Below are 18,237 nucleotides of genomic sequence, written 5' to 3' on the forward strand. Positions count from 1 at the left end.
ATCTATTGATCTAATTATCTCCAGCAAAGTCAGGTCTGATGTTTTCCTATGTTACTATGGCACCTTCTAAGTATCTTGTCATAGCATATTATTATGCTGTATTATTATTATCTGTTTATTTACCTGTGTCACCCAGTAGACTGTAAACTCTGTGACTTCAGGCATTGTTGCCTCTCTTCTTCAATGCCCTAGCATATAAAACAGAGTCTGGTGCCTAATAGAGGTAAGTTTCTAGTACATATGCTTTATCAAGTTAACAAAGTCTTTAAAAAAAATCTTAGTTTGCTAAGATTAAAAAAGTTTACTAATGGGTATTGAATTTAATTAAATGTCTATTTAGAATTGAAGATCAGTTTTTTTAAAAATATGGTGAATTAGTCTGACGAATTTTCTAATGTTGAGCCCTTTTTGCATTTCTGGGATAAACTCTACTTGCTTCTAATGTATTATAATGGATTTGACTTGATAATTACAGAAAAAGATTTTGGCTTGTATTTGGCATATTATATGTTTGGCTTGTTCATTGGTTAGTTTATCTGCAATAACATTCATGTATTCGGAAAATATTTTTGATAAGACTCTATACCAGTTTGTGCAAGACGTAGAAGTTTTTTACTTTTATATGGAACTTACTGTAGAAGATCTTTTTTTCCTTTTCATTTCGCATGTTTGATAATATATCTTGTGTGCATTTTGGACCCTTGAAAAGCTCACATTATGTCAAGCATATTTTCGTGTCATTGTGTATGAACATTTAAAAATCGGTGCATAGTATTTTGTCATCTTGATTTAGTAAAATTTACTTAATCATTCCCACAATAATGAATATGTGGTTTCAGTTTCGTTTTTCACAAAAGTAGATCCTGAGACAGACCTGGATGAAGGTAGTATATTTGAGAAATGGTCCCAGGAGCAGTAGGAAAGAGCATGAAGAATGAGTTGGGCAATTAGAGGTGAATTATCAAGACATATAGTCCCTGCTAGAGGCAGGAGGCTTGATTCTACCAGGACCCCTAGGAAGCATGCAGTATGCCTCCTAGAATTGTCCATTTGTTTTAGCATTCATTGTGTAAGTATATCTTAATTTGTTTGTTTACCAATAATGGACATTTAGATCATTCCCAGTTTTTGCCTGTATGAATAATACTGCTACAAATATTTATGTACGAATATATGTGTGGACATATGTTTCATTTCTGTTGGGTAAATACCTATGATTGGAGTGTCTGGTTTGCCATTTATTTATTTATTGAGACAGGGTCTCACCCTGTTGCTCAGCCTGGAGTGTAGTGGGGCGATCTCAGCTCAACTCAACCTCTGCCTCCCAGGTTCAAGAGATTCTCCCACTTCAGTCTCCGGAGTAGCTGGGACTACAGGCACATGCCGTCACACCTGGCTAATTTTTGTATTTTTTGGTAGAGATGGGATTTCACCATGTTGACCAGGCTGGTCTTAAGCTACTGACCTCAAGTGATCCACCTGCATCAGCCTCCCAAAGTGCTGGGATTGCAGGTTTGAGCTACTGCATCCGTCCTGGTTTGCCTTTGATATGGTTTGGTGGTGTCCCCACCCAAATCTCATCTTGAATTTTAACTCCCACAATTCCCACGTGTCCTGGGAGGAACCTGGTAGGAGGTAATTGAATCATGGGGGCAAGTCTTTCCCATGCTGTTCTTGTGATAATGAATAAGTCTCATGAGATCTGATGGTTTTAAAAATGGGAGTTTCCCTGCACAAGCTCTCTTTTTGCCTGACACCATTGATATAAGACGTGACTTGCTCCTCCTTGCCTTCTGCCATGATTGTGAGGCTCCCGCAGCCATGTGGAACTGTAAGTTCATTAAATCTCTTGCTTTTGTAAATTGCTCAGTCTCAAGTATGTCTTTATCAGCAGCATGAAAATGAACTAATATAGCCTTTTAAAGAAATTTTCTGGCTGGGCACGGTGGTTCACGCCTGTAATCCCAGCATTTTGGGAGGCTGAGGTGGATGGATCTCTTGAGCCTGGGAGTTCGAGACCAGCCTGGGCAGCATGGCAAAAGCTTGTCTCCACTAAGAATACAAAAAAATTAGTTGGGTATTGTGGCATGCACCTGTAATCCCAGCTACTCAGGAGGCTGAGGCAGGAGAATCACTTGAACCTCGGAGGTGGAGGTTGCAGTGAGCCAAGATTGCGCCACTGCGCTCCAGCCAGGGTGACAGAGCGAGACTCTGTCTCAAAAAAAAAGATATTTTCTGCTTGCCAAAGTTGTATAATTTTACATTTTCACCAGTGGTGTTACTAACATGTCTTAAAATTTTAGCTATTCTCATAAATGTGTAGTAGCATATTTCAAGTTTTTAAATTTCTCTGATTAATGATGTTGAACATCTTTTCATCTACTTATTTGCTACCTAGATATATTCTTTGTTGAAGCGTCTTCTCAAATCATTTCCCTATTTTTGAGTTTCTTATAGATACAAGTCTTTTTTTTTTTTTTTTTTTTGAGACAGAGTCTTGTTCTGTCATTTCTGTGTTGGGACATTACAGGTCCTTTCTTCTAGGTATTTTGAAATATACAATACATGGTTGATAACTATAGTCCCCCTACTCTGCTATAGACCATTAGAACTTATTCCTTCTATCTAACCGTATGTTTTTACCTATTTGCCAACCTCTTTTTATCCCCCGTTCACTGACCATTCCTCACCTCTATTATCTATTATTCTACCCTGTACCTTCATGAGATCAGTTTTTTAAGTTCCCACATATGAGTGAGAATATCTGATGTTTGTTTTTCTGTACCTGGCTTATTCCATCCACATTGCTGCAAATGACATGATTTTATTTTTTTTATGGCTGAGTAGTATTCCATTGTGTATATATACATTTTCTTTATTTATTCATCTGTTGGTGGGCACTTAGGTTGATTCCCTATCTTTGCTATTGTGAATGGTACTGGAATAAATATGGAGTGCAGGTATCCCCTTGATATACTGATTTCTTTTCCTTTGGATAAATACGCAGTATTAGGGTTGCTGGATCATATGGTAGTTGTGTTTTTAGTGCTCTGAGAAATCTCCCTACTGTTTTGTATAATGGCTGCACTAATTACATTCTCACCAACAGTGTATAAGTGTTTCCTTTTTTCTGTGTCCTTACCAGCATCTGTTTTCTTTAGTCTTATTAGTAATAGCCATTCTAACTTGGGTAAGATGATGTCTCATTGTGGTTTTGATTTCCATTTTGCTGATGATTAGTGATGGTAAGCAGTTTTCATATACCTATCTGCCATTTGTATGTATGTCTTTGGAAAAATGTCTCTTCATGTTATTTGTCCACTTTTAAATGGGATTATTACTAGTTTTTACTATCGAGTGTTTTGAGTTCCTTGTATATTTTGGATATTAGTTCCTTGTTGGATGAATAGTTTGCAAATATTTTCTCCCATTCAACAGGTTGTCTCCCCACTCTGTTGATTGCTTCCTATGTGGGCAGAAGCTTTTTAGTTTAAAATAGTTTTATTTATCTATTTTTGTTTTATTTTTCTGTACTTTTGAGATCTTAGTCATAAAATCTTTGGCTATATCCTAAAGTGTTTCCCCTATATTTCTTTCTAGTAGTTTTATAGTTGTGGGTGTTATGTTTAAGTCTTTAACCTATCTTGGATTGAATTTTGTATATGGTGAGAAATAGGGGTTCAATTCATTCTTCTGCATATGGGTATTGAGTTTTCCCAGCACCATTTATTCAAGAGGGTGTTTGTTCCTGAATGTATTTTCTTGGTACCTTTGTTGAAAATGAGTTTGCTGGCCGAGCGTGGTGGCTCATGCCTATAATCCCTGCACTTTGGGAGGCTGAGGCAGGCAGATCACCTGAGGTCAGGAGTTTGAGACCAGCCTGGCCAACATGATGAAGCCCTGTCTCTATTAAAAATACAAAAAATTAGCTGGGTGTGGTGGTGCGTGCCTATAATCCCAGCTACTCAGGAGGCTGAGGCAGGAGAATTGCTTGAGCCCAGGAGGTGGAGGTTGCAGTGAGCCGAGATCGTGACACTGCACTCCAGCCTGGGCAACAAGAGCAAAATCTCTGTCTTGAAAAAAATAAAAAAATTAAAAAAAAAAGAAAATGAGTTTGCTGTACATACATGGATGTATTTCTGGGTTCTCCCTTCTGTCCCATTATTACTTGTGTCTGTTTTGATACCAATACCTTGCTGTTTGGGTTTTTATAGCCTTATAATATATTTTGAGGTCAGATAGCGTGACCCCTCTTGCTTTGTTCTTTTTCCTCAGGAGTGCTTTGGCTATTTGGGCTCTTTTTTTTGGTTTTATACATATTTTAGGATATTTTTCTATTTTTGTGAAAATGACAGTAGTATTTTCATAGGGATTGCATTGAATTTGTAGACTGCTTTGGGCAGTATGTTCATTTTAACAATATTAATTTTTTCCAATCCATGAACATGGGATGTCTTTTCATTTGTTTGTGTCCTCTTCAATTTCATTCATCAGTGTTTTCTAGTTTTCCTTAGAGATCTTTCATCTCCTTGGTTAAATTTATTCTTAGGTATTTTTTTTTGTAGCTATTATAAACAGCATTTCTGGCTTAATTTCTTTCTCAGCTAGTTCATTATTGATGTATTGAAATGCTGCAAATTTTTGTATGTTGGTTTTTTATACTGCAACTTTACTGAATTTATTTATTAGGTGTAAGAGTTTTTTTTAGAGTCTAGGTTTTTCTGGATATAAAATCATGTCACCTGTGAAACAGGACAATTTAACTTCCTCCATTTCAACTTGGATCCTTCTATTTTTATTCTTGCCTGATTATTCTGGCTAAAATTTCTAGTATTATGTTGACTAGGAGTAGTGATATTGGTCATCTTTTTTGGGTTCCAGGTTTTACAGGAAAGGCTTCAACTTTTCTTTATTTGATATGATGTTAGCTGTGGGTTTGTCATATGAGACTTTTATTGTGTTGTGGTATATTTATTCTATGCCTGATAATTGAGAGTTTTTATCGTGAAAGGATGTTGAATTTTATTACATGCTTTCTCTATGTCTATTGAGATGATTATGTGGTTTCTGTCCTTTATTCTACTGATGCGATGTGTCACATTTAGTGATTTGTGTTTCTTGAACAATCCTTGCATCCCTGGGATAAATCCCGCTTGATCATGGTGTTTTATCTTTTTGATGTGCTGTGGGATTCAGTTTGCGGCAATTTTGTTGAAGATTTTTACATATATGTAAATAGGGATCTTGGCCTGCAGTTTTGGTTTTTGTTACACCTTTCTCTAATTTTAGCATCAGAGTGATGCTTGCCTTTTGGGACTAGGTTAATTCCCTTCTCTTCAATTCATTGGAATTGTTTGAAGAGGATTGGTATTTGTTCTTTGTAAGTTTGGTAGAATTTTTCAGTGAAGCTGTCCAGTCTTGGGCTTTTCTTTGTTGGAAGCCTTTTCATTTTACTGTTTCAATCTTGGTACTTGTTACTAGTCTGTTTATGTTTTTTGTTTCTTCCTGATTTAATCTTGGTATGTTGTGTGTTTAGGAATTTATCAATTTCCTTTAGGTTTTCTGGTTTGTTTGTGTATAGTATAGTTGTTCATAACAGTGTCTGATAAGCTTTTGTATTTCCATGGTATCAGTTGTAATGTCCTTTTTTGATTCTGATTTTGTTTATTTGGGTCTTCTCACTTTTTTTCGTGGTTAATCTGGCTAGCAGTTTATCAATTTTGTTCTTCTTTTCAAATAATCAACTTTCCATTTTCTTGATTCTTTGTATTTTTTCAGTAAAATAATTTCAACTTTTATTTTAGATTCAGGGGTTACATGTGCAGGTTTGTTACTTGGATACATTTTGTAATGGTGATGTTTGGGGTACAGATGATCCCATCACCCAGGTAGTTAGCATAGCAGCCAATAGGCAGTTTTTCAGCCCACACTTCCTGCCTCCCTACTGCCCCCGCCATTGCTTACTAGTCCTCAGTGTCTATTGTTCCCATCTTTATGTCCCTGTGTACTCATATTTAGCTCCCACTTATAAGTGAGAACATGCAGCAGTACTTGATTTTCTTCCTGTGTTAATTTGCTTAGGACTATAGCCTCCAGCTGCATCCATGTTGTCGCAAAGGATATGATTTCATCCTTTTTATGGCTGCATAGTATTCCCTGGTGTATGTATACCACAGTTTCTTTATCCAGCCCACCATTGATGGGCACCTGCGTTGATTCCATGTGTTTGCTATGGTAAATAGTGCTTCAATGAACATATGAGTGCATGTGTCTTTTTTTTTTTAGAATAATTTATTTTCCTATGGGTATATACCCAGTAATGGGATTGCTGGGTTAAATGGTAGTTCTGTTTTAAGTTCTGTGAGGAAACTCCAAACTGCTTTCCACAGTGGCTGAACTAATTTACACTCCCACCAAGAGTGTATAAGCATTCCTTTTTCTACACAGCCTTGCCAGCATCTGTTTCTTGTTGACATTTACATAATAGCCATTCTGACTGGAGTGAGATGGTATCTCATTGTGGTTTTGATTTGCATTTGTATGTCTTCCTTTGAGAAGTGTTTGTTCATATACTTTGCCCATTTTTAAGTGGGATTATTTGTTTTTTGCTTGTTTATTTGTTTACAATGTTTACAGATTCTGATATTAGACCTTTGTCAGATGCATAGTTTGTGAATATTTTCTCTCATTTTGTGAGTTATCTGTTTACTCTGTTGATAGTTTCTTTCGCTGTGCAGAACCTCTTTAATTAGGTCTCACTTGTCAATTTTTGTTTTTATCACAGTTGCTTTTGGAGATTTAGCCATAAAATCTTGGCCAAATTCTAAGCATTTCCTAGGTTTTCTTCTAGGATTCATACAGCTTGAGGTCTTATATTTAAATCTTTTATCCATCTTGAATAAATTTTTATATATGCTGAAAGATAGGGGTCCAGTTTCATTCTACTGCATACGGCTAACCAGTTATACCAGCACCATTTATTGAATAGGGAGCCCTTCCTTCATTGCTTGTTTTTGTTGACTTTGTGGAAGATCAGATGGATGTAGGTGTTCAGCTTTATTTCTGGGTTTTCTATTCTGTTCTATAAGTCTATGTCTGTGTATCTGTTTTTGTACCAATACTATGCTGTTTTGGTTACTATAGCCTTGTAGTATAATTTGAAGTTGGGTAATGTGATAACTCCAATTTTTTTCCTTTTACTTTAGTTTTTTCACTGATTCTCCTCTGAGAGAAGTGGTGTTCTTTTAACTGTGGTTTAAATGGAGGATAGTCAATTGGCTTCATTTCTGGTTGCTTTCAGAGGGCCAAGGCTCTGTACAGGATCTTTATTTGTGGCTAGATTCTTGCCCCTGGTTTCACAAGTGATGTATATTGGCAGATTATTTTTGGTGTTTTAATTTGGGATGTGATCCAGTAAATGGTGCTTAAGAGTGGTGGCCAGCAGATAGGCTCTTAATCAGCTTCACAGCTTTTTTTGTATTTCAGTGCATTTGCAGTAGTGGTCTATAGTGGGGTAGGGGGAGACAGATGACCCTCTCAGCAGGTCTGTTCCTGAGCTTTGAGGAAGCCGCCTCTGATCACTGGCACTGATCCTGTCTTTTTCTTTAATTAGGTCTTCCGGGCTGCAGGGCTCCCTCAGGCAGAGGCTATGACCTGCAGATAGGCCACACCATTCTTGGACTGGTCCTGTAGAGCAGGGTTCCCCAATCCCTGTTACTGCTTCATGGCCTGTTCAGAAGTGGGCCACACAGCAGGAGGTGAGTGGTGGGTGAGTGAGCATTATTACCACCTGAGCTCGGTCTCCCGTCAGATCAGCAGTGGCATTAGACTGTCATGGAAGCATGAACCCTATTGTGGACTGCATGTGGGAGGGATCTAGGTTGCATGCTCCTTATGATAATCCAATGCTTGATGATCTGAGGTAGAACAGTTTCAACCTGAAACCATCCCCTCCTCCCCAACATACACCATCCATGGAAAAATTGTCTTCCACAAAACTGGTCCCTGTGCTAAAAAGGTTGGGGACTGCTGCTGTAGAGGGAGAGATGCCCTTCTCTGGTGCTGGCTTACAAGCCTCTGTGTTTCACTCCTCTCTGTCTTCTGAGGGTGTGGGCTCCTTCCCTGCTCTAGCACTGGCTACAGATCTTGGCTCAAGATTCCCAAGCTGCATGCTGCAGCCCTGAGCTGTTGGGACTGGCCCACAGCTCCATCTTTTGGCTCCCTTTGGCACAGCACCAACTGTGCTGGGGGATTCCAACTGCTTCCAGACCTCTGAGAAAGTACTCAGGCTGGCCTTTTGATAAAGCACCCATACTGGGCAGTGGAGGCTGCACTGTACTCATGTTCCTGTTAGAGCAGCTGGGCAGAGGCCTTGGAAGGGGCTGGTGGGCAGGAGTGCCTGCAGAACAGACATGCCCCATTCCCACTGGAAAGTCAGCCCTGTTCTCTTGACCCAGTGGTCAACTGGGGTTAGAGTTACTCAGAGGAAGAAGGGGAGCGTTGGGGGATGGGCACCTATGGCTGTATTCTGCTTGCGGCTGTCATGTGTGCCAAACCTCCATTCCATATAGGCTGGAGTACTTTTACTGCCTACTCTCCAGGCAGATCCCCTTGCCAGTTTAAATGTTTATGGGCGTCATAGGATCTCTTGTACCTAGGATTGGAGATCTGCAGCAAGAGTGGGTTGCCCCACTATCCCTTCACTAACCCCTCCCTCAGGAGGCTTTCAGGGCTGAGCATGAGCCCTAGCATTCAGCAACCCCACACAAGGTTCCCAGCTTCTTCTCTTTTCAGCCTCAGTGTCAGTGTTGCTTCTCTATCTACTCTTGGTGTTTTCTGTCTAAGATTTGCTCAAAGTTTATTAGTTTACTTAATTTTTAGTCTCGTTCAGTGGGAGTGGTGCTTCCTGGCTGTGTCTAGTCAGCCACCTTATCTGCTATCCCTCCAAAAGCTTTAACCCTTTATGTTTTTTTTTAGTAGCTACTTTATTTACTTCTATTCTGATCTTCATTATTTCTTTCCTTCCACTATTTTTGGGTTTTGTTTCTTATTGCTTTTCTAATTCCCTGAGATGCATAATTAGGTTGCTTATTTGAACTCTTTCTTTCTAGATGTAGGCATTCATTGCTATGATCTTCTCTGTTGGCAGTGTTTTTAGTATATTCCATAGATTTTGGTATGTTGTGTTTCAGTTCTCATTTATTTGAATAAACTTTTTGATTTCTATGTTAATTTCTTCCTTGAGCTAGTGGTCATTCAGAATAATGCTGTTAAATTTCCTTGTATTTATACAGTATCACAAGTTCCTCTTTTTATTACTATCTAATTTTAATCCATTGTATCTAAGAAGGTATTTGATACACACTGTCTAGTTTTATTCTGTTGTATCTAAGAAGATATTTGACATGATTTCCATTTTAAGAAATTTGTTGAGGCTTGTTATGTGTCCTAACATATGGTCTATCCTGGAGAATGTTTCATCTGCTGATGAGAAGAATGTATATTCTGTAGCTGCTGGATGAAATGTTTTGTAAATTTCTGTTAGGTCTATTTGGTCAGTAGTGCAGTCTAAATCCAGTGTTTCTTTTTAAATTTTCTGTTGTGATGATCTCTGTAATGTTGAGAGTGGGCTGCTGAAGTCCCCAAGTATTATTGTATTGTGCTGTCTTTCTCCCTTTAGTCATAATAATATTTGCTTTATATATCTGGGTGCTTTGTTGTTGAGTGTATATGTGTTTAGAGTTGTCATATCCTTTGCTAATTTGATCCCTTTGTCATTATATAATACCCCTCTTTGTCTATTTTTACTTTTTTTTGACTTAAAGTCTATTTTATCTGATATAAGCATGGCTATTCCTGCTTGCTTTTGGTTTCTGTTTGCATGGAATATATTTTTTTCATTCTCTTACTTTCAATATATATGTGTTTTTTTCAGATGAAAAGAGGTTTTATTTTTGTAGGGGGCTTATTATAGGGTCATGTTTTTAAATCAGTTATCCTAGTTTGTATCTTTTAATTGGAAAATTTAATCTTTTTACATTCAATGTTATTATTGATATGGGAGGGCTTATTCCTGTCATTTTGTTAATTGACTTCTGGTTGTTTTATATATCTTTTTTCTTTTTTTTATTTCTCTCTTGTTTGTTGTGGTTTGGTGGTGTTCTGTAGTGGTAACATTTGAGTCCTTTCTCTTTCTTATTCATGAGTTTGCTCTACCAGTGGGCTTTATACTTTTATGTGTTTTCCTGTTGGTGTATATATTATCCCTTTGCTTCCAGGTATAGTACTCCCTTAAGTATTGCTTGTAGGTTCAGCCCATTCATGATAAATGTGCTCAGCTTTTGTTTTTCTAGGAAAGACTTCAGTTCTCCTTCATTTATGAAGGATGATTTTGTTGAGTATAGTATCCTTGGCTGCCAGTCTTTTTCTATCTACACTTTGAATATATCATCCCATTTTCTCAGGGCCTGTATGGTTTCTGCTGAGAAATCCACTGTTGTTTTGGTGGGGCTCCTTTGTAAGTGTCTAGATGCTTTTCTTTTGCTGCTTTAAGAATTTTCTTGTTGTCTTTGACTTTTGACCACTTTGCTATAATGTGCCATGGAGAAGACCTTTTAAAGTCATATTTGTTTGGGGATCTCTGAGCTTCCTGTATCAGAATATGTAAATCTGTTACTGGACTGGGGAAGTTTTCAGCTATTATTTTGTTAAGTAGGTTTTCTATCCTTTTGGTTTTCTCTGCTTTCTTGAACACCAAAAATTCAAATATTTGGTTGCTTTATGATGCTTCATAAGTTACATAAGGTTTTTTCATTCTCTCTTATCATTTTTTCCTTATATTTGTCTGACTGTGTTATTTCAAAAGAGCTATCTTTAGGTACTGAAATTCTTTCTTCTGCTTGATCTAGTTTATTGTTGAGGCTTTCAAATGCATGTTTTATTTCATTCAGTGAATTGTTCTGTTCCAATATTTTTGTTTATTTTATGATATCCATTTGTTAAATTTCTTTTTCATATTCTAGAATTTTTTTCCGATTTCTTTGTATCTGTGTTCTCTTGTCTTTCACTGATATATATATATATATATATATATATATTTTTTTTTTTTTTTTTTTTTTTTGCGATGGAGTCTCAATCTGTTGCCCAGGCTGGAGTGCAGTGGCATGATGTTGGTTCACTACAGCCTCTGCATCCTGGGTTCAAGTGATTCTCATGTCTCAGCCTCCCGAGTAGCTGAGGATTACAGGCACCCACCACCACACCTGGCTGATTTTTGTATTTTTAGTAGAGATGGTGTTTCACCATGTTGGATGGGCTGGTCTCAAACTGCTGACCTCAAGTGATCTGCCTGCTTCAGCCTTCCAAAGTGCTGGGATTACAGGTGTGAACCACCACACCCAGCTTCACTGAGCTTTTTAAATGTCATTACTTTGAATTCTATTTCTGGAATTTAATAAATTTCTTTGTCATTGGAATCTGTTGCTGGTGAATTGTTTTGCTTCTTCCAAGTTTTTGAATTTGCTTTTATAGACAGTGACTTTTTCTCAAAGATGTACCTATGATATTGGTTGGGTTGGCATGTTGGCATTGATTCTTGGCACTTGTAGTATTGTAGTCTCTGTATAATTCCTTTGGCTATAAACAGTATCACTGGTCTCTGATTTCCTCAGTGACTTAGGATATGGTTGTTGTTGGAGACTGTGGATCCTGGCAGTTGTAGCAGTGAGCTGGGTGAGTGGCTGGGTCCTTGGACCCCTGGGTAGTTAGTGTCACCTGTGTGATGGCAGTAGCAGTAGTAGAACAACCCTCTGGCTCCAAAGCATTCTGCATTGTTGTTGGTGGCTGTATTAGGCTGGGTGAGTTGGTCCCCTGTGCCACAGGTGTTGCATGCAGGTGGAAGCTAGCTGTGGTAGTAGTAGTACGTTGGGTGGGCTCATCTTTAGGTCTCTGGGAGAGTATTCAGGTGCCAATGGTGGTAGATTGGTCACAGCCATTCTTAGTACCCTGGATTGTATGCTTAGGCATAGGGGTGGAGTCTGGCAGGGCGGGCCTATCCTCAGGCCTCCTGGTGGTGTATGCAAGTGGTAGGCAGTAGTAGAGTGAACCAAGCCACCTAGTGGAATGCCCAGGTGGTGGTGGCAGTGGCTGTGATGTGGCCCAGCTGCGGGGGAGAGTGGGGTTGCTTTTACTGGCAGCAGTCGTAGACAATTGGCTGGGGAGCATGCACTTTGGCTCCAGGTAGTGGCTGCAGGTGGGGTAGCGTTTCCTCGGGGCACTTGAAAATCCATGGTGGCTCTGCTGCTGTGAATACCAGGGTTCTGCCAGTGGCTCATGGTTTGGCCTCAGCAGTGCAATGGAAGTTGCTGTGAGTGAGGGAGTCTGTATTTAGGGCTCGTGAAAATACACAGCAGTCCCACTGCTGGGAGTATTGTAGTTATTGCCAGTGGCTTACATTTTGGCTCTGACAACAGCAGTTAGCACTCGTGGTGTCTGTGGGTAGGGGACATCAGAGAGGTTGCAAGGATGTGGAGACAGGAGCTGTTGATCCCCATGGCAGGATGCGGTCTAGTAGAGTCTGGGATCTCAGGATAGTGATGTGCAAGTTGCTTAAGACTTGGGGGTGTGTGGAACCCAGCATGAATTTCCTCTTTGGAGCAATGCCATCATGTGATTTCCAAGTAGTTCCTCTGTCAGTCGCATGGTCCTAAAGGGTTGAGGCGCTCTCCTATGGCTAGGATTGCAGGAGTCCTTGATAGTAATGTGGACCACTTGGGGTGTTTCTCTTGCCCTTTACCCACGCTGAAGAGCCTCTCCAGGCTCCCAGCTGATTCTGGCTGAGCAGGCTGCCCTGATTTCCTCTCCTTCCTTGCCTTAGGTGTTCCTTGTCACTTCTTGTTGAATTCAGTGTTCTCTCTTACATGATCTATTCTAACTATGATTGTCAACTTGTTATTTTGGTTCTTCTTTATGGAGGAGGCAAGTACCAGATGCCTACAGGCATTCTTCTGTGCCTCCGACTTCATATTTTTTTTGATGCTACTCTTATTATAAATGGTCTACCCCAGATCCAGACACACACAGGTGTCTTATAATGGTCTACCTACCCCAGGTCCAGACACACACAGGGTAGACACTGGGCAGATGTTTCTTTGAAGAACAAGTAAATGAATAAAATATGTAAGTGGAAAGTATTAATGTAATAATGGGTCATGTCTGCTCATTTTCAGGATTCTTTTCTCAGAATTCTACAAACATGGAAGTGGGGGTAGAGAAAGCAAATGGATAATGTAATGCAGGGTTGAGAATTGGTGGGAAAATGAGTGGTTTTGAACCTCAGGAAAAGGCTAGGTAGAGAGGTGAGATAGGGATGTGGGAAAGAGCAAAGATCAATAACTAATCAAAAAGCAGTTTTTTTTTGTTTTTTTCTGACAGACTTGAGCCATACTTCTAATTCTGTGGGAGCTGGCACTTTTCAGTTTGTATTAGTCCATTCTTACACTGCTATAAAGAAATACCTGAGACTGGGTAATTTATAAATAAAAGAGGTATAAATGGCTCATGATTCTCTACAGGATATACAGGAAGCATGGCTGCGGAGGCCTCAGGCAAATTACAAACATGGTGGAAAGCAAAGGAGAAGCAGGCATGTCTTACATGAGTGGAGCAGGAGGCAGAGGGCTGGGGGCAGCTACACACTTTTTACACAACCAAGTCAAGTGAGAACTGTATCACGAGAAGAGTACCAAAGGGGGAAATCCACCTCTGTGATCCAATCACTTTCCACCAGACCCCACTTCCAAAACTGGGGATTATAATTTGACATGAGATTTGGGCAGAGACACAAATCCAAACCATATTATTCTGTCCCTGGCCCCTCCCAAGTCTCAGGTACTCACATTCCAAAATTCAGTCATCCTTCTCAACAGTCCTCAGAGTCTTAACTCATTCCAGCATTAACTTACAAGTCCACAGTCCAAAATCTCATCTGAGACAAGGCAAGTCCCTTCTGCCTATAAGCCTGTAAAATAAAAAATGGGTTAGTTATTACTTCCAACATACAGTGAGGGTACAGGCACTGGGTAAATACTTCTTTTCCAAAAGGGAGAAATTAGCCAAAAGAAAGGGGCTACAGGCCCCATGTAAGTTTGAAACCCAGCAAGGGAGTCATTAAATCTTAAAGCTCCAAATAATCTCCTTTGATTCCACATCTCACTTCCAGGGCACACTGGGGCAAGGGGTGGGCTCCTAAGGTTGGGAAGCTGCACCTCTGAGGCTTTGCAAAGTAAAGCCCCTGAGGCTGCTTTCATGGGCTAGTGTTCATGCACCTGCGGCTTTTACATGTGCATGGTACAAGCTCCTGGTTGATCTACCATTCTGCAGTCTCGAAGACAATGGCCCTCTTCTCACAGCTCCACTAGGTAGTGCCCCAGTGGGGCTCTGTGTGAGGGATTCAACCCCAGATTTCCCTTCAGTACTGCCCTAGTAGAGATTCTCCATGACGGCTCTGCTCCTGCAGCAGGGTTCTGCCTAGACATTTAGGCTTTTCTACACATACTCTGAAATCTAGGCAGAGGCTCCCGAAGCCTTAACTCTTGCACTCTGAACATTGGCAGGCTAAACACCTCATAGAAACACCAAGTTTTATGGCTTGCACATTCTGAAGCAGCAGCCTGAGCTGTATCTGAAGTCCTTTCAGCCACCCCTGGAGGCAGAGGGGTCAGGATATGGGGAGCAGTGTCTTGAGCCTGTGCAGGGAAGTGGGACCCTGGTCCCTGTTCATGAAACCATTCTTCCTTCTTAGACCTACATGCCTGTGATGGAAGGAACTGCTGCAAAGGTTTCTGAAATGCTTTGAAAGTCTTTTCCCCTTTGTCTTGGCCATCAGCATTTGACTATTCTTTACTTATGCAAATTTCTGTAGCTGGCTTGAACTCCTCCTCCAAAAAGGCCTTTTCTTTTCTACCACATGGCCAGCCTTCAAATTTTTCAAACTCGTACACTTTGCTTCCCTTTTAAATATAAGTTTCAGTTTCAGGTCATTTCTTTGCTCACGCATATGAACATAGGTTGTTAGAAGCAGCAGGCTATATCTTGACTGCTTTGCTGCTTAGAAATTTCTCCTGTCAGTAACCTAAACCATCACTCTCAAGTTCAAAGTTCCACATACCCCTAGATGCCTCCAGGCTCTTTGTTAATGCATAACAAAAATGACCTTTACACTAGTTCCCAAGAAGTTCCTCATTTTCATCTGAGACCTTCTTAGCTGGGATTTCATTGTCCATATCACTATCAGGATTTTCAAAGCAACCGTTCAACAAGTCTCTAGGAAGTTACAAATTTTCCTCATCTTCCTGTCTTTTTCTCAGCCCTCCAAATTGGTCCAACCTCTACCTGTTACCCAGTTCCAAATGCAAATTCACATTTTCAGGTATCTTTATACCAATGCCCCTGTCCTTGTTACCAATTTTCCATATTAGTTCATTCTTGCACTGCTATAAAGAAATACCTGAGACTGAGTGATTTATAAGGAAAAGAGGTTTAATTGACTCACAATTCTACAGGTGTACAGGAAGCATGGCTAGGGAGGCCTCAGGAAACTTACAAGCATGGTGGAAGGCAAAGGGGAAGCAGGCATGTCTACATGGCCAGAGCCAGGAGGAAGAGAGAGAGGTGGGAAGTGCCACAGACTTTTTAAATAACCAGATCTAGTGAGAGCTCTATCATGAAAACAATACCAAAGGGGGAAATCCACCCCCATGATCCAGTCACCTCCCACCAGGTCCCACCTCCAACACTGGGGAATCACAACTTGGCATGAGATTTGGGCAGGGATGCAAATCCAAATTATATCACAGTTCTTTCTGGAACGTTGCTCATGTAGCTTCCTACATATGTGCAACTATCCTCCTCTTTTTCTCCTCATACCTGCCTACCCCCTCTGTTCATATTCCCCTCTCAAAATCTCTTTCTGTTTTTCTTTTCTTAGTGACTTTCAAGATGTCCTTTTAACTAGGAATAGAACCTGTCAGATATGCTAACATAACTGTATCTGCTTTCAAATTGTGTGACCTCTTGTTGATGGTGAGCAACATATTTTCAACTTCTGTGAGTGACAGTAGAGTAAAATTCTGATGAGCTGAAGTCAGACTACGCATTTTTGGAAAGCAGCTAAACCTCTTTGAGCCTCCAGGAAGACGTCCTCTCTCTATCAAATGCGGACTTTTAGAAATAATACTCTCTCAGCCACGTATGCCACCCAGTATTATTATCACGTGCCATTACTGTTTGGTAGTTATTTATGTTCATGTCATCTTGGCTAGATTGTGAACTTTTAAAAGGCAAGCCTTCTGCCTTTTACCTTTATATTCCCATGCATGCTTTGTATGCTTAAGTGGTTAGCCACTTAATATATTTTAAAAGAGATAATGTATCCATGTTATTGAGTTAAAATAATCCATGGAAGGCATCTATTACAATGATTGGCATATAGTAGATATTTAGTCAGTTATATTAGAGCACTCAGTCAATATGGGGAATTTTGCTTCATTTCCTCCTCTTTAATTGATTCTCCCATTTCACATACATTGTCCTTCGGCTGATTTTAGGAGCCTATTTATTTATCTGCCTATTTTTCATTTTGAAGTATTTTTTTTGACTTTCAAAGAAGACACAAGAATAGCATAAGGAAATCCCACATTCCATGGATGTATGCTTAGTATATTGTATCAAGGAGGCACAAAACATCCCTTTACTGGTGGTGTTAATTTTGATCATTTGATTAAGGTGGCATCTGTCAGATCTTTCTACCATAAAGATGCTATATTTCATGCTGTTAATAGAGAAAAACCCTAGGCTGGGTAATTATAAAGGAAAGAGGTTTAATTGACTCACAGTTCCATATGGCGGGGGAAGCCTCACAATCATGGCAGAAAGCAAATGAGGAGCAAAGTCACATCTTACATGGCAGCGGGCAAAGAGAGCATGTGCAGGGGAACTCCCCTTTGTAAAACCAGCGGATCCCATGAGACTTATTCACTATCATGACAAAAGCACAAGAAAGATCCACCCCCCATGATTCAGTTACCTACCATCAGGTCCCTCCCACAACGTGTGAGAATTATGGGAGCTACAATTCAAGATGAGATTTGAGTGGGGACACAGCCAAACCATATCAGATACTTTTTTTTTTTTTTGAGACGGAATCTTGCTCTGTCGCCCAGGCTGGGGTGCAGTGGCACGATCTCAGCTCACTGCAACCTCTACCTCCCGGGTTCAAGCGATTCTTCTGCCTCAGCCTCCTGAGTAGCTGGGACTACAGGCTCCCACCACCACACCCAGATAATTTTTGTGTTTTTAGTAGAGACAGGGTTTCACCATATTGGCCAGGCTTGTCTCGAACTCCTGAACTTGTGATCCGCCTGCCTTGGCCTCCCAAAGTGCTGAGATTAGAGGTGTGAGCTGCTGCGCCTGGCCCAGATACTATGTTTTTCCATTGTAGTTCATAAGTGTCTGGTGGGGAAATACTGTAAATATCTTGCTTCTCATCACATTTTTACTAAGTTTAGCCCAGTTTAGCCAGTTTATTAAGTTTAACAGTCCATTGATGATTGTTTCCTGAAACAAATTATCATACAGTTTACCATGTAGTGACTTTTCTATTCACATCATTCCTTCTATATCTATTAGTTAGCATTTTACCATAATAAAGAGTTTTTCTTTCCTCTTCATTTAGCTTTGTATTCATTTGTTAACTTACATTAGTATAGACTCATGGAATCTTATTTTGTTAAATTGATTATGCATCAAAATCATCATTTTGTTTATTTGTTTTTTTTTCTTAAATTGTGCAGATGGTAAAATTGGATGGGTGGCAGAGATGGCTTTGAGTACTCTTGTTTCAGTTTGGGGGTGTGCCAAACAGCAGGCCCAGAGGATAAGCATTCATGTGGTTTACACCAGTTTAACAAGGACCAACATGAAAGAGAAAATAGTTGTAGATTACTCTGAAATATATTGTTTCCTCTGTGTTTCAGGAAATAAAAAGGGTCAGTTGGAGGTAGTTTAGTCACTAAGGCCACTGCAACTTCCTCTCTTAACTCTTAGCAGCTGGAGATGTTTTGCTGTAGACACACAGTTTGAACATAAAAGGTAAAGGAGAGTCAGTATCGCTGTGTTGGCACAAGATGGCAGCAGTCATCCATTGATTTTGCAGCTCAAGGCCTACAGATTTTAAATTAA

The 18,237-nt window shown here is 39.9% G+C and overlaps 1 protein-coding gene across 18 annotated transcripts in view, besides 2 other annotated features; it reads left to right on the forward strand.

Moving 5' to 3' along the window:
- The window catches only part of GALK2 (galactokinase 2), a 211,967-nt gene that overhangs the window by 61,819 nt on the left and 131,911 nt on the right, over positions 1–18,237 (forward strand). For 3 of the 18 annotated variants that reach the window (NM_001352048.2, NM_001352047.1, XM_047432351.1), the window contains one exon: positions 7,613–7,757. The exons of 14 other annotated variants lie outside the window; for them this stretch is intronic. The gene's annotated coding sequence lies outside the window, so the exon portion shown is untranslated. Of the gene's footprint in view, positions 1–7,612; positions 7,758–11,427; positions 18,148–18,237 lie in introns of those variants that run through there. One more of the 18 variants, XM_047432352.1, reaches the window with a different exon arrangement.
- Positions 13,984–14,655: an enhancer, noted in NCBI's record as "OCT4-NANOG-H3K27ac hESC enhancer chr15:49523773-49524444 (GRCh37/hg19 assembly coordinates)". NCBI's record gives its function as "activates a minimal SCP1, AML or CMV promoter by ChIP-STARR-seq in primed H9 embryonic stem cells {active_cell/tissue: H9 hESC(primed)}" and the evidence as "EXISTENCE:reporter gene assay evidence [ECO:0000049][PMID:30033119]".
- Positions 14,656–15,326: an enhancer, noted in NCBI's record as "OCT4-NANOG-H3K27ac hESC enhancer chr15:49524445-49525115 (GRCh37/hg19 assembly coordinates)". NCBI's record gives its function as "activates a minimal SCP1, AML or CMV promoter by ChIP-STARR-seq in naive and primed H9 embryonic stem cells {active_cell/tissue: H9 hESC(naive and primed)}" and the evidence as "EXISTENCE:reporter gene assay evidence [ECO:0000049][PMID:30033119]".

The sequence above is a fragment of the Homo sapiens genome, chromosome 15 (assembly GCF_000001405.40).
Source record: "Homo sapiens chromosome 15, GRCh38.p14 Primary Assembly".
Lineage (NCBI taxonomy): Eukaryota > Metazoa > Chordata > Mammalia > Primates > Hominidae > Homo > Homo sapiens.